Below are 13,725 nucleotides of genomic sequence, written 5' to 3'. Positions count from 1 at the left end.
TAAACCTGACAAAAACAAGAAATGGGGAAAGGATTCCCTATTTAACAAATGGTGCTGGGAAAACTGGCTAGCCTTATGTAGAAAGCTGAAACTGGATCCCTTCCTTACACCTTATACAAAAATCAATTCAAGATGGATTAAAGACTTACATGTTAGACCTAAAACCATAAAAACCCTAGAAGAAAACCTAGACAATACCATTCAGGACATAGGCATGTGCAAGAACTTCATGACTAAAACACCAAAAGCAATGGCAACAAAAGCCAAAATTGACAAATGGGATCTAATTAAACTAAAGAGCTTCTGCACAGCAAAAGAAACTACCATCAGCATGAACAGGCAACCTACAGAATGGGAGAAAATTTTTGCAATCTACCCATCTAACAAAGGGCTAATATCCAGAATCTACGAAGAACTTAAACAAATTTACAAGAAAAAATCAAACAACCCCATCAAAAAGTGGGTGAAGGATATGAACAGACACTTCTCAAAAGAAGACATTTATGCAGCCAAAAAACACATGAAAAAATGCTCGTCATCACTAGCCATCGGAGAAATGCAAATCAAAACCACAATGAGATATCATCTCACACTAGTTAGAATGGCGACCATTAAAAAGTCAGGAAGCAACAGGTGCTGGAGAGGATGTGGAGAAATAGGAACACTTTTACATTGTTGGTGAGACTGTAAACTAGTTCAACCATTGTGGAAGACAGTGTGGTGATTCCTCAAGGATCTAGAACTAGAAATACCATTTGACCCAGCCATCTCATTACTGGGTATATACCCAAAGGATTATAAATCATGCTGCTATAAAGACACATGCACACGTATGTTTATTGAGGCACTATTCATAATACCAAAGACTTGGAACCAACCCAAATGTCCATCAATGACAGACTGGATTAAGAAAACATGGCATATATACACCACAGAATACTATGCAGCCATAAAAAAGGATGAGTTCATGTCCTTTGTAGGGACATGGATGAAGCTGGAATCCATCATTCTCAGCAAACTATCACAAGTACAGAAAATCAAACACTGCATGTTCTCACTCATAGGTGGGAATTGAACAATGAGAACACTTGGACACAGGGTGGGGAACATCACACACCAGGGCCTGTCATGGGGTGGAGGGAGCGGGGAGGGATAGCATTAGGAGATATACCTAATGTAAATGATGAGTTAACAGGTGCAGCACGCCAACATGGCACGTGTATACATATGTAACAAACCTGCACATTGTGCACATGTACCCTAGAACTTAAAGTATAATAATTTTTTTTAAAAAGCCCAGAAACAACAGATGCTGGAGAGGATGTGTAGAAATAGGAACACTTTTACACTGTTGGTGGGAGTGTAAATTAGTTCAACCATTGTGGAAGACGGTATGGCGATTCCTCAAGGATCTAGAACTAGAAATACCATTTGACCCAGCCGTCCCATTACTGGGTATATACCCAAAGGATTATAAATCATGCTACTATAAAGACACATGCACACGTATGCTTATTGTGGCACTATTCACAATACCAAAGACTTGGAACCAACCTAAATGTCCATCAATGATAGACTGGATTAAGAAAATGTGGCACATATACACCACGTAATACTATGCAGCCATAAAAAAGGGTAAGTTCATGTCTTTGCAGGGACGTGGATGAAGGTGGAAACCATCATTCTCAGCAAACTCTCACAAGGACAGAAAACCAAACACTGCACGTTCTCACTCATAGGTGGGAACTGAACAATGAGAACACTTGGACACAGGGCGGGGAACATCACCCACTGTGGCCTGTCGTGGGGTGAGGGGGCTGGGGGAGGGATAGCATTAGGAGAAATATCTAATGTAAATGATGAGTTAATGGGTGCAGCAGACCAACATGGCATATGTATACCTATGTAACAAACCTGCACATTGTGCACATGTACCCTAGAACTTAAAGTATAAAAAAAAAAAAACCTTAAAAAATAAATAAATAAATAACAAATGCTGGTGAGGATGTGGAGAAAAGAGAAACCTACAGTTTTGGTGGGAATGTAAATTAGCACACCCACTAGAGAGAACAGTTTGGAAGTTCCTCAAAATACTAAAGTAGAGCTACCATATTATCCAGCAATCGCACTGTTAGGTATATACTCCAAAAGAGGAAATCAGTATATCAAAGATATAGCTGCACTTCCATGTTAATTACAGTACTGTTCACAATAGCCAAGATTTGGAAGCAACCTAAGGGTCCATCAGCAGATGAATGGACAAAGAAAATGTGGTGCATATACACAATGGAATACTTTTCAGCCATAAAAAACAATGAGATACTGTACTTCGCAACAACATGCATGAAACTGGAGGACATTAAGTGGAATAAGCCAGGCGCAGAAAGACAAACTTCACGTATTCTCACTCATTTGTGGGAACTAAAATTAAAACAACTGAACTCAGGGAGATAGAGAGTACAGTGATGGTACTCCATAAATATATATACCTACTATGTACCCATAAATTTTGTTTAAATTTTAAGGAATAGATTCAGGAGAGAAGGGCCACTCATACTTAAAAGAATGTATTTAAAAGTAGAAAAATGTTTACATATCTAAGTCCAGCCACATTGACAGAGAGCTACTCTCTCTATTCAAGCCTTCTTGAAAGATCAAGAAAGCAGTAATGGTCCACAGGGTCTTTTCCAGTCTTTGAATTTGTAGTCCTGTAATGCTCTCTTCCTAGCAGCACTTGCTTGACTTGTTATTTACATCTTCTCTATAGAACCCTAGCCTTTCCATGGCCTGCCATGGCTGGCAATGTCCCAATTATCATCTAAAATGCATTTGAATACATGGCAACGAAGTCTACCACGAAAATCATGCATCAGTTCCCATGTTTGTTGCAGCACTGTTCACAGCAGGCAACATCTGAAAGTTAAGTGTCCATTAACAGATGAATGGATACATACATGGTACATACAATGGAGTACTATTCAGCCACAAAAAATAATAAGATCCTGTCATTTGCAACAAGATGGATGAAACGAGGTCATCATGTTAAGTGAAATAAAGACAAACCATATGTTCTCACTTATTTTGGGGATCTAAAAATCAAAACAATTGAACTCATGAAGGCAGAGAGTAGAAGGATGGTTATTAGAGGCTGGGAAGGAAAGTTGGGGTATGGGGAAGGTGGGGATGGTTAATGGGTACAGAAAAATAGAAAGAATGAATAAGACCTAGTATTTGATAGCACAACAGAGTATATTAGGCTATTATTGCATTGCTATAAATAAATATCTGAGACTGAGTAATTTATAAGAAAACAGGTTTAACAGGCTCACAGTTTCACAGGCTGTATAGGAAGCATGGTGGTATCTGCTTCTGGGGAGGCTTCAGCAAGGTTTCACTTACAGCAGAAGGTACAGCTAGAGCAAGCATCTTACATGTCATGAACAGGAGAGAGGAGAGAGGGGCTACACTTTTAAACTACCAGATCTCGTGAGAACTCACTCAGTATACAGTACCAAGGTGGGATGGTGCTAACCCATTCATGAAGGATCCACCCCCATGATCCAGTCACCTCCCATTAGGCCCCACCACCAATACTGGGGATTATAGTTCTGCATGAGATTTGGCCAGGGACACAGATTCAAACCATAAGACAGGGTGATTATAGTTAATAATAATTTAATAATTATTTTATTATAGTCAATAATAATTTAATTGTACAACTGAAAGTAACTAAAAGAGTATAATTGGATTGTTTGTGATACAGAGGATAAATACTTGAGAGGATGGACAACCCATTCTCCATGATGTGATTATGACACATTGCATGCCTGTATCAAAACATCTCATGAGAGATTACCATGGTGGATGGGAGGCAGGACTAGATTGCAGCTCCAGACAGAGCAGCGTGTGGAGGCTCGCATTGTGAACTGTAGCTCCAGATCGACTGCAAGAACAAAACAGCAATTCTGAGAAGACCCACAGGCCCTCTGAAGGAAGTGGACTGCTCCTGCAGGACCTGGGAGACACTTCAAATATTGTGAGTGCCTCAACTGCGGAAGTGCGAAAAGAAGACCCTCTTCCCCCAAACACACACCCCCGCTGGAGAAGCTGAAGGTCTGTTTGTGGGAGAAGTTTCTGACTTTACCTGGAGCTGAGTCAATTTAGAGAGCCAAGGGAAATACAGAGGTAGAGAAAGCAGCAGAAAGGCCCTGGGTGCTCACTGGGTCCCCAAGCAGCCCATTCCTGCCTGGCACCACAGGGATCCATCAGGAGGGTGGCTAGAGGAGCAGGGGGTAAAACTCCACGACGAGAAGGAAATCTTTGAACTTTGTAACAATTTGAATGGGGCGAGAACCTCCTGGCCAGAACTGGGCAGGAGTGGAAAGAATCTAGTGTGCAGACTCCACAGGTGGGGTAAGAACCAAGCCCTTTTCTTTCACAGCTGGGAGGCAGGAAGCCCGGGGCAAGTTTTCAAGTCTGTCTCACCCTCCACCTGGAAACAGACTCCGGGCGGTTTGAGGGGCGGGGCATGATGGGAGTGAGACCAGCCCTTCAGTTTGCATGGGAGCTGGGTGAGCCCTGTGACTACTGGCTTTCCCCTACTTCCCTAACAACCTGCATGACTCAGCAGAGGTAGCCTTAATCCTTATAGGTACACAACTCCAGTGACTTAGGAATCTCACCCCTATCCTCCACAGCAACCGCAGCAAGACCCACCCAAGGAGGGTCTGAGTTCAGACATGCCTAGCCCTGCCCCCACCTGATGGTCTTTCCCTATACACCCTGGTAATGGAAGACAAGGGGCATTTAATCTTTGGAGTTCTAGGTCCCCGCTCACCATCAGTCCCTCTCCACACTACCACAGCTGATGCTTTCTGGAAAGTGCCACTGCCTGGCAGGAGGCCAACCAGCATGAAACAGAGCATTAAACCACCAAAATTAAGGACCCTCATGGAGCCCATTGCACCGCCCCTGTGCTGCCACCTCCACTGGACAGGAGCTGGTATCCACAGCTAAGAGACCCATAAATGACTCACATCACAGGACTCTGTGCAAACAACCCCAGTACCAGCCCAGAGCCAGGTACACTCACTGGGTGGCTAGACCCAGAAGAGAGACAACAATCACAGCAGTTTGGCTCACAGGAAGCCACATCCATAAGAAAAGGGGGAGAGTACTACATCAAAGGAATACCCCGTGGGACAAAAGAATCTGAACAACAGCTGTCAGCCCTAGACCTTCTCTCTGACAGAGCCTACCCAAATGAGAAGGAACCAGAAAACCAACCATGGTAATATGACAAAACAAGGCTCTTTGACATACCCAAAAAATCGCTCTAGTTCACCAGCAATGGACCCAAACCAAGAAGAAATCTCTGATTTACCTAAAAAAGAATTCAGGAGATTAGTTATTAAGCTAATCAGGGAGGTATCAGAGAAAGGCAAAGCCCAAGGCAAGGAAATCCAAAAAATGATACAAGAAGTGAAGGGAGAAATATTCAAGGAAACAGATAGCTTTAAGAAAAAAAACAATCAAATATTCAGGAAACTTTGGACACACTTTTAGAAATGCAAACTACTCTGGAAAGTCTCAGCAACAGAATTCAACAAGTAGAAGAAAGAAATTCAGAGCTCAAAGACAAGGTCTTCAAATTAACTCAATCCAACAAAGACAAAGAAAAAAGAATAAGAAAATATAAACAAAGTCTCCAAGAAGTCTGGGATTATGTTAAATGACCAAACCAAAGAATAATCAGTGTTCCTGAGGAAGAAGAGAATTCTAAAAGCTTGGAAAACATATTTGGGGGAATAATCAAGGAATGCTTTCCTGGCCTTGCTAGAGACCTAGACTTGCAAATACAAGAAGCACAAAGAACACCTGGGAAATTCATCAGAAAAAGATCTTCTCCCAGGCACACTGTCATCAGGTTATCCAAAGTTAAGATGAAGGAAAGAAGCTTAAGAGCTGTGAGACAGAAGCACCAGGTAGCCTATAAAGGAAAACCTATCAGATTAACAGCAGATTTCTCAGCAGAAAACCTACAAGCTAGAAGGGATTGGGGCCCTATCTTCAGCCTCCTCAAACAAAATTTATCAGCCAAGAATTTTGTATCCAGCAAAACTAAGCATTATATATGAAGTAAAGATACAGTCATTTTCAGACAGACAAATGCTGAGAGAATTCGCCATTACCAAACTACCACTACAAGAATTGCTAAAAGGAGCTCTAAATCTTGAAACAAATCCTGGAAACACATCAAAACAGAATCTCTTTAAAGCGTAAATCACATGGGACCTATAAAACAAAAATACAAGTTAAAAAGCAAAAAAAAGTACACAGGCAACAAGAGCACGATGAATGCAACAGTATCTCACATTCCAATACTAACATTGAATGTAAATGGCCTAAATGCTCCACTTAAAAGATACAGAACTGCAGAATGGATAAGAAATCACAAACCAACTATCTGCTGCCTTCAGGAGACTCACCAAACACATAAAGACTCACATAAACTTAAAGGGGTAGAAAAAGGCATCTCATGCAAATGGACACCAAAAGCGAACAGAGGTAGCTATTCTTATATCAGACAAAACAAACCAAAGCAACAGCAGTTAAGAGACAAAGAGGGACATTATATAATGCTAAAAGTCCTTGTCCAATAGGAAAATATCACAATCCTAAACATATATACACCTAACACTGGAGTTCCCAAATTTATAAAACCATCACTAATAGACCTAAGAAATCAGACAGCAACACAATAATAGTGGGGGACTTCAATACTCCACTGACAGCACTAGACAGGTCATCAAGACAAAAAGTCAACAAAGAAACAATGGATTTGAACTGTATGTTGGAACAAATTGACTTAACAGATATATACAGAACATTTCATCCAACAACCAAGAATATACATTCTGTTCAACAGTGCATGGAACTTTCTCCAAGATAGACCATATGATAGGCCATAAAATGAGCATGAATAAATTCAAGAAAATTGAAATGACATCAAGTGCTCTCTTAGAACACAGTGGAATAAAACTGGAAATCAACTCCAAAAGGAACCTTTAAAATCATGCAAATACGTGGAAATTAAATAACCTGCTCCTGAATGAGCATTGGGTCAAAAATGAAATCAAGAAGGAAATTTAAAAATTCTTTGAGCTGAATGACAATAATGCCACCACCTATCAAACCCTCTGGGATACAGCAAAGGCGGTGCTAAGAGGAAAGTTTATAGCCCTAAACACCTACATGAAAAATACTGAAAGAGCACAAACTGACATTCTAAGGTCACACCTCAAGGAACTAGAGAAACAAGAACAAGCCAAATCCAAACCTAGCAGAAGAAAGGAAATAACCAAGATCAGAGCAGAATTAAATGAAATTAGAACAAAAAAAAACCCACAAAAGATAAATGAAACAAAAAGCTAGTTCTTTGAAAAGATAAATAAAATTAATAGACCAAAAGCAAGATTAACCAAGAAGAGAGAGAAAATCCAAATAACCTCGCTAAGAAACAAAATAGGGGATATCACAACTGACACCACTGAAATACAAAAGATCATTCAAGGCTACTATGAACAACGTTACTCACATAAACTAGAAAACCTAGAAGAGATGGATACATTCCCGGAAAAATAAACCCTCCTAGCTTAAATCAGGAAGAATTAGCTACCCTGAACAGACCAATAACAAGCAGTGAGATTAAAATGGTAATTTAAAAATTACCAACGAAAAAAGTCCAGGACCAGATAGATTCATGGCAGAATTCTACCAGACATTCAAAGAAGACTTGGTACCAATCTTTTTGACACTATTCCACAAGACAGAGACAGAAGGAACCCTCCCTAATTCATTCTATGAAGCCGGCATCACCCTAATACCAAAACCAGTAAAGGACATAACCAAAAAAGAAAACTACAGACCAATATCCTTGATGAACATAGATGCTAAAATCCTTATCAAAATACTAGCTAACCAAATCCAACAATGTATCAAAAATATAATCCACCATGATCAAGTGGGTTTCATACCAGGGATGCAGGGATGGTTTAACATACACAAGTCAGTAAATGTGATATACCACATAAACACAATTAAAAACAAAAATCACATGATCATCTCAATAGATGCAGAAAAAGCATTCGACAAAATCCAGCATTGCTTTATGATTAAAACTCTCAGCAAAATCATCATACAAGGGACTTACCTTAATGTAATAAAAGTCATCTATGACAAACCCACAGCCAACATAATACTGAATGGGGAAAAGTTGGAAACATTCCCTCTGAGAACTGGAACAAAACAAGGATGCCCACTCTTGCCACTCCTCTTCAACATAGTACTGGAAGTCCTAGCCAAGGCAACCAGACAAGAGAAAGAAATAAAAAGGCATCCAAATCAGTAAAGGGAAGTCAAAATGTCACTGTTTGCTGATGATATGATTGTTGACCTTGAAAACCCTAAGGACTCCTCCAGAAGCCTCCTAGAACTTATACAAGAATTCAACAAAGTTTTCAGATACAAGATTAACATACACAAATCAGTAGCTCTTTTATACACCAACAGCAACCAAGCAGAGAATCAAATCAAGAACTCAACCCCTTTTACAATAGCTGCAAAAAAAAATAAAATACTTAGGAACTGACTTAACCAAGGAGTTGAAAGTCCTCTAAAGAAATCATAGATGACACAAACAAATGGAAACACATCCCATGCTCATGGATGGGTAGAATCAATATTGTGAAAATGACCGTATTGCCAAAAGCAATCTACAAATTTAATGCAATCCCCATCAAAGTACCACCATCATTCTTCACAGAATTACAAAAAACAATTCTAAAATTCATATGGAACAAAAAAGAACCTGCATAGCCAAAACAAGACTAAGCAAAATGAACAAATCTGGAGGCATCACACTACCTGATTTCAAACTATACTATAAGGTCATAGTCACCAAAACAGTGTGGTGGTGGTGGTGGTATAAAAATAGACACATAAGACCAATGGAACAGAATAGAGAACCCAAAAATAAGCTCAAATACTTATAGCCAACTGATCTTTGACAAAGAAAACAAGAACATAAAGTGGGGAAAGGATACCCTTTTCAACAAATGGTGCTGGGATAATTGGCTAGCCACATGTAGGACAATGAAACTGAATCCTCATCTCCCAGCTTATACAAAAATCAACTCAAGAGGGATTAAGGACTTAAACCTAAGACCTGAAACTATAAAAATTCTAGAAGATAACATTGGAAAAACCCTTCTAGACATTGGCATAGGCAAGGATTTCATGACCAAGAACCCAAAAGCAGATGCAATAAAAACAAAGATAAATAGCTGGGACCTAATTAAACTAAAGAGCTTTTGCACAGCAAAAGGAAGAGTCAGCAGAGTAAACAGACAACCCACAGAGTGGGAGAAAATCTTCATAATCTATACATCTGACAAAGGACTAATATCCACAATCTACAAAGAACTCAAACAAATCAGTAAGAAAAAAACAAACAATCCCATCAAAAAGTGGGCTAAGGACAGGAACAGACAATTCTCAAAAGCAGATATATAAATGGCCAACAAACATATGAAAAAATGCTCAATATCACTAATGATCAGGGAAATGCAAATCAAAACCACAATGTGATAACACCTTACTCCTGCAAGAATTGCCATAATCAAAAAAAATAAAAAAACAGTAGATATGGGCGTGGATGCAGTGAACAGGGAACACTTCTACACTGCTGATGGGAATGTAAACTAGTACAGCCACTATGGAAAACAGTATAGAGATTCCTTAAAGAACTAAAAATAAAACTACCATTTGATCCAGGAATCCTACTACTGGGTATCTACCCAGAGGAAAAGAAGCCATATTTGAAAAGAATACTTGCACATGCATGTTTATAGCAGCACAATTCACAATTGCAAAATCACGGAACCAACCCAAATGCCCATCAATCTATGAGCACGGTGGCTCACGCCTATAATCCCAGCACTTCGGGAGGCCAAGGCAGGCAGATCACAAGGTCAGGAGATCTAGACCATCCTGGCTAACATAGTGAAACCCCATCTCTACTAAAAATACAAAAAATTAGCCAGGCATGGTGGTGGATGCCTGTAGTCCCAGCTACTCGGGAGGCTGAGGCAGGAGAATGGTGTGAACCTGGAAGGCGGAGCTTGCAGTGAGCCTAGATCACACCACTGCACTCCAGCCTGGGCAACAGAGTGAGACTCCGTCTCAAAAAAAAAAAAAAAAAAGGAAACTGTGGTGTGTATATATAAAATGGAATACTATGCAGCCATAAAAAGGGATGAATTAACAGCATTTGCAGTGACCTGGATGAGATTGGAGACTGTTGTTCTAAGAGAAGTAACTCAGGAATGGAAAATGAAACATTATATGTTCTCACTGATACGTGGGAGCTAAGCTGTGAGGACACAAAGGCATGAATGATACAATGTACTTTGGGGACTTGTGGGGAAGAGTGGGAGGAGGGCAAGGGATGAAAGACTACAAATATGGTGCAGTGTATACTGCTTGGGTGATGGGTGCGCCAAAATCTCACAAATCACCACTAAGTAACTTACTCATGTAACCAAATACCACCTGTACCCCAAAAACTTATGGAAAAATAAAAAATTTTTAAAAATTTCATGTACTCCATAAATATACATACCTACTCTGTACTCACAAAAAATTAAAAATATTTTAAAAATCATGCATCAGTCCTGGAGCACATCTTCCTAGAAACATACTGGTTCTGTTGTGGCCAAATACCCCATGCATATTAGGTCTTCAGATTCATCCTTATTTCCAGCTACATATAGAAAATGATGTTTTCTATTACACTGATCAGAAACAAATTTCCAGTTATTATGTTCTCCAAAACCTCAGTATTCTCAACAGTAAAATAAGATAACAAATCTATCTTACAGGGTTGTTGCAGAGGTGGGTTCTGGTTATGGTTGATGTGTTCTGTAAACTTTTAATTACTACATAGTTGTTAGTTGTTAACTGTTTCAGATCTCTGGAGTTTAATGTATAGTTAATGATACATAGGACTAAATTGCAAAATGATTTTCATCTCATTTTCACTGCAACTCATAAAAAATAGTAAATGATTAAGACATTAACCCAAAGAAATATATGATTTTTTTAAGGTGTGCACTTTTTTTCAACTGGTCTCAAGTCAGTGTACAGGTAAGCCCCTGGCTGCCCTCCGCCCACTCCCAGGGACACCAAAAGCTTTCATATATCTCAAGTTGGGGGCCAAAAAAGGGGGAGCCATGAAGGCTGATCATTTAAAATAAAACAAAATTTTAAAAGTGTTAAGGCAAAGATTTAAAAAATTGTGCTAGGCTGGGCGCAGTGGCTTACACTTATAATCCCAGCACTTCAGGAGGCCAAGGCGGGCGGATCACGAGGTCAGGAGATTGAGACCATCCTGGCTAACATGGTGAAACACTGTCTCTACTAAAAATACAAATAATAATAATAATAATAATAATAATAATAATAATAATTAGCCAGGCGTGGTGGTGGATGCCTGCAGTCCCAGCTACTCGGGAGGCTGAGGCAGGAGAATGGTGTGCACCCAGGAGGCGGAGCTTGCAGTGAGCCGAGATCACGCCACTGCACTCCAGCGTGGGCGACAGAAGAAGACTCTGTCTCAAAAAAAAAAAAATTGCATTACATAATTTACATGAAAGCAATGCTATCACCTCCCCTGTGTGGACTCAGGAGAGAACTGGGCCATTCTCCTTAGAGAGAAGTGGGGTGGCTTTTAGGAGGGCAAGGGGCTTCCTGTGACAATGCATCTCATGTTATTTGGAATTACTATTAAAAAAAGAACAAGAGCAATGTACAATCAAAGTCCTCGGCCACATTGTAGAACTTTGGAGGATGCTTGCTCAAACAGACTGCTGTCACCTTCACCGTTCCAGTTTTTAAATCTGAGTCAAGCCACAAAAAAAATAAAAATAAAAATAAAATAATAAAATAAAAAATAAAGCCATGCCAATCTCATCTTGTTCTCTGCACCAGTTAGGTTTTATCAAGAAAGGGTGTAACGCAATTAACAGTCTGCCTAGAAGCATTTGGAGGATGGAGGGGCCGACTCGTCATACCCCCGCTTGCTGGTCCATATCTGATCTGCTGGAAAGTGGACAGCGAGGCCAGGATGGAGCCAATCCACACAGAGTATTTGAGCTCGGGAGGAGCAATAATCTTGATTTTCATTGTGCTGGGCGCCAGGGCAGTGATCTCTTTCTGCATCCTGTCAGGGTTGCCAGGGTTCATGGTAGTACCGTCAGACAGCACTGGGTTGGCATACAGGTCTTTGTGGATGTCCACGTCACATTTCATGATGGAGTCGAAGGCAGTTTCGTGAATGCCACAGGATTCCATGCCCAGGAAGGAAGGCTGGAAGAGCACCTTGGGGCAGAGGAAACACTCGTTGCCGATGGTGATGACCTGGCAGTAGGGCAGCTCCTAGATCTTCTCCAGGGAGGAGCTGGAGGCTGCCGTGGCCATCTCCTGCTCGAAGTCCAGGGCGACGTAGCACAGCTTTTCCTTGATGTCATGCACAATCTCCTGCTCTGCCCTGGTAGTGAAGCTGTAGCCGCGCTGGGTGAGGATCTTCATGAGGTAGCCAGTCAGGTCCCAGCCGGCCAGGTCCAGATACAGGATGGCATGGGGGAGGGCATGCCCCTTGTACATGGGCACAGTGTGGGTGACCCCATCCACGGAGTCCATCATGATGCTAGTGGTACGGCCAGAGGCGTACAGGGACCACAAGGCCTGGATGGCCACGTATATGGCTGGGGTGTTGAAGGTCTCAAACATGATCTGGGTCATCTTCTTGCAGTTGGCCTTGTGGTTCATGGGGGCCTCAGTCAGCTGCACGGGTGCTCCTCAGGAGCCACACCCAGCTCATTGTAGAGCCAGATCTTCTCCATGTCATCCCAGGTGGTGACGATGTGTGCTCGATGGGGTACTTCAGGGTCAGGATGCCTCTCTTGCTCTGGGCCTTGCCGCCCCACGTACAAGTCCTTCTGACCCATGCCCACCATCACACCCTGGCGCCTAGGGAGCTCCACGATGGAGGGGGAAGATGGCCCAGGGGGACATTATCACCTGCAAAGCCGGCCTTGCACATGCCTGAGCCGTTGTCAATGACAAGTGGGGCGATATCATCATCCATGGTGAGCTGGCGGCGGGTGTGGACTGGGCGGCAGAGCGGCAAGGGCGGGGTTCTGTGCTCGCGGGTCAGATGTGGTATTGGCCAGAAATATACGATATTTTAACAGACAAAATTGGTATTCTGATGAGCTGGATGAAAAATATTCATAAAATTGTACACATTTAATGTACCACCTACATAAATACAAACAGAAATTCTAACCCTTTCATTGTAAATAATGGAATAAAGTAAACTAGGCTGCTAGTGAGAATCTAAATGGATGTGCTTCTTCCGGTCGATAATACCGTGTGAATGAAAAAGGCATTAATTTCACTGTTATATATTTGGAATGATACTGTACAGGCATTGTTTTAGAAGAAATCTATGTTCTAAAATGATCAAAGCTAGATAAAATGCAGAAGAGTGCTGTTGTTCAGGACACTAAGTTTGATAATCAGTTCACCTGGAGGGAAAACATTCTAGTTTTCACATCTTTGCAATATTTTACATCTATGCTCAAGAGAAGCCTGAGTGAAGGA

General features: G+C 41.1%; 1 pseudogene, besides 4 other annotated features; it reads right to left on the bottom strand.

Moving 5' to 3' along the window:
• Nucleotides 4,053-5,252: an enhancer, noted in NCBI's record as "MED14-independent group 3 enhancer chr9:103501477-103502676 (GRCh37/hg19 assembly coordinates)". NCBI's record gives its function as "activates an origin of replication core promoter dependent on BRD2, BRD4, P300/CBP and CDK7 cofactors, and independent of MED14, by STARR-seq in HCT116 cells {active_cell/tissue: HCT116}" and the evidence as "EXISTENCE:reporter gene assay evidence [ECO:0000049][PMID:35650434]".
• Nucleotides 4,053-5,455: a biological region, named in NCBI's record as "MED14-independent group 3 enhancer GRCh37_chr9:103501477-103502676".
• Nucleotides 4,859-5,455: an enhancer, noted in NCBI's record as "OCT4-NANOG-H3K27ac hESC enhancer chr9:103501274-103501870 (GRCh37/hg19 assembly coordinates)". NCBI's record gives its function as "activates a minimal SCP1, AML or CMV promoter by ChIP-STARR-seq in naive H9 embryonic stem cells {active_cell/tissue: H9 hESC(naive)}" and the evidence as "EXISTENCE:reporter gene assay evidence [ECO:0000049][PMID:30033119]".
• ACTG1P19 (actin gamma 1 pseudogene 19) lies at nt 12,085-13,247 on the bottom strand (annotated as a pseudogene).
• Nucleotides 13,015-13,522: an enhancer, noted in NCBI's record as "H3K27ac-H3K4me1 hESC enhancer chr9:103493207-103493714 (GRCh37/hg19 assembly coordinates)". NCBI's record gives its function as "activates a minimal SCP1, AML or CMV promoter by ChIP-STARR-seq in naive H9 embryonic stem cells {active_cell/tissue: H9 hESC(naive)}" and the evidence as "EXISTENCE:reporter gene assay evidence [ECO:0000049][PMID:30033119]".

Source organism: Homo sapiens, chromosome 9 (genome assembly GCF_000001405.40).
Source record: "Homo sapiens chromosome 9, GRCh38.p14 Primary Assembly".
NCBI lineage: Eukaryota > Metazoa > Chordata > Mammalia > Primates > Hominidae > Homo > Homo sapiens.
Note: the sequence above shows the minus strand (reverse complement) of the source record. Positions and strands in the feature narration are given on the sequence as shown.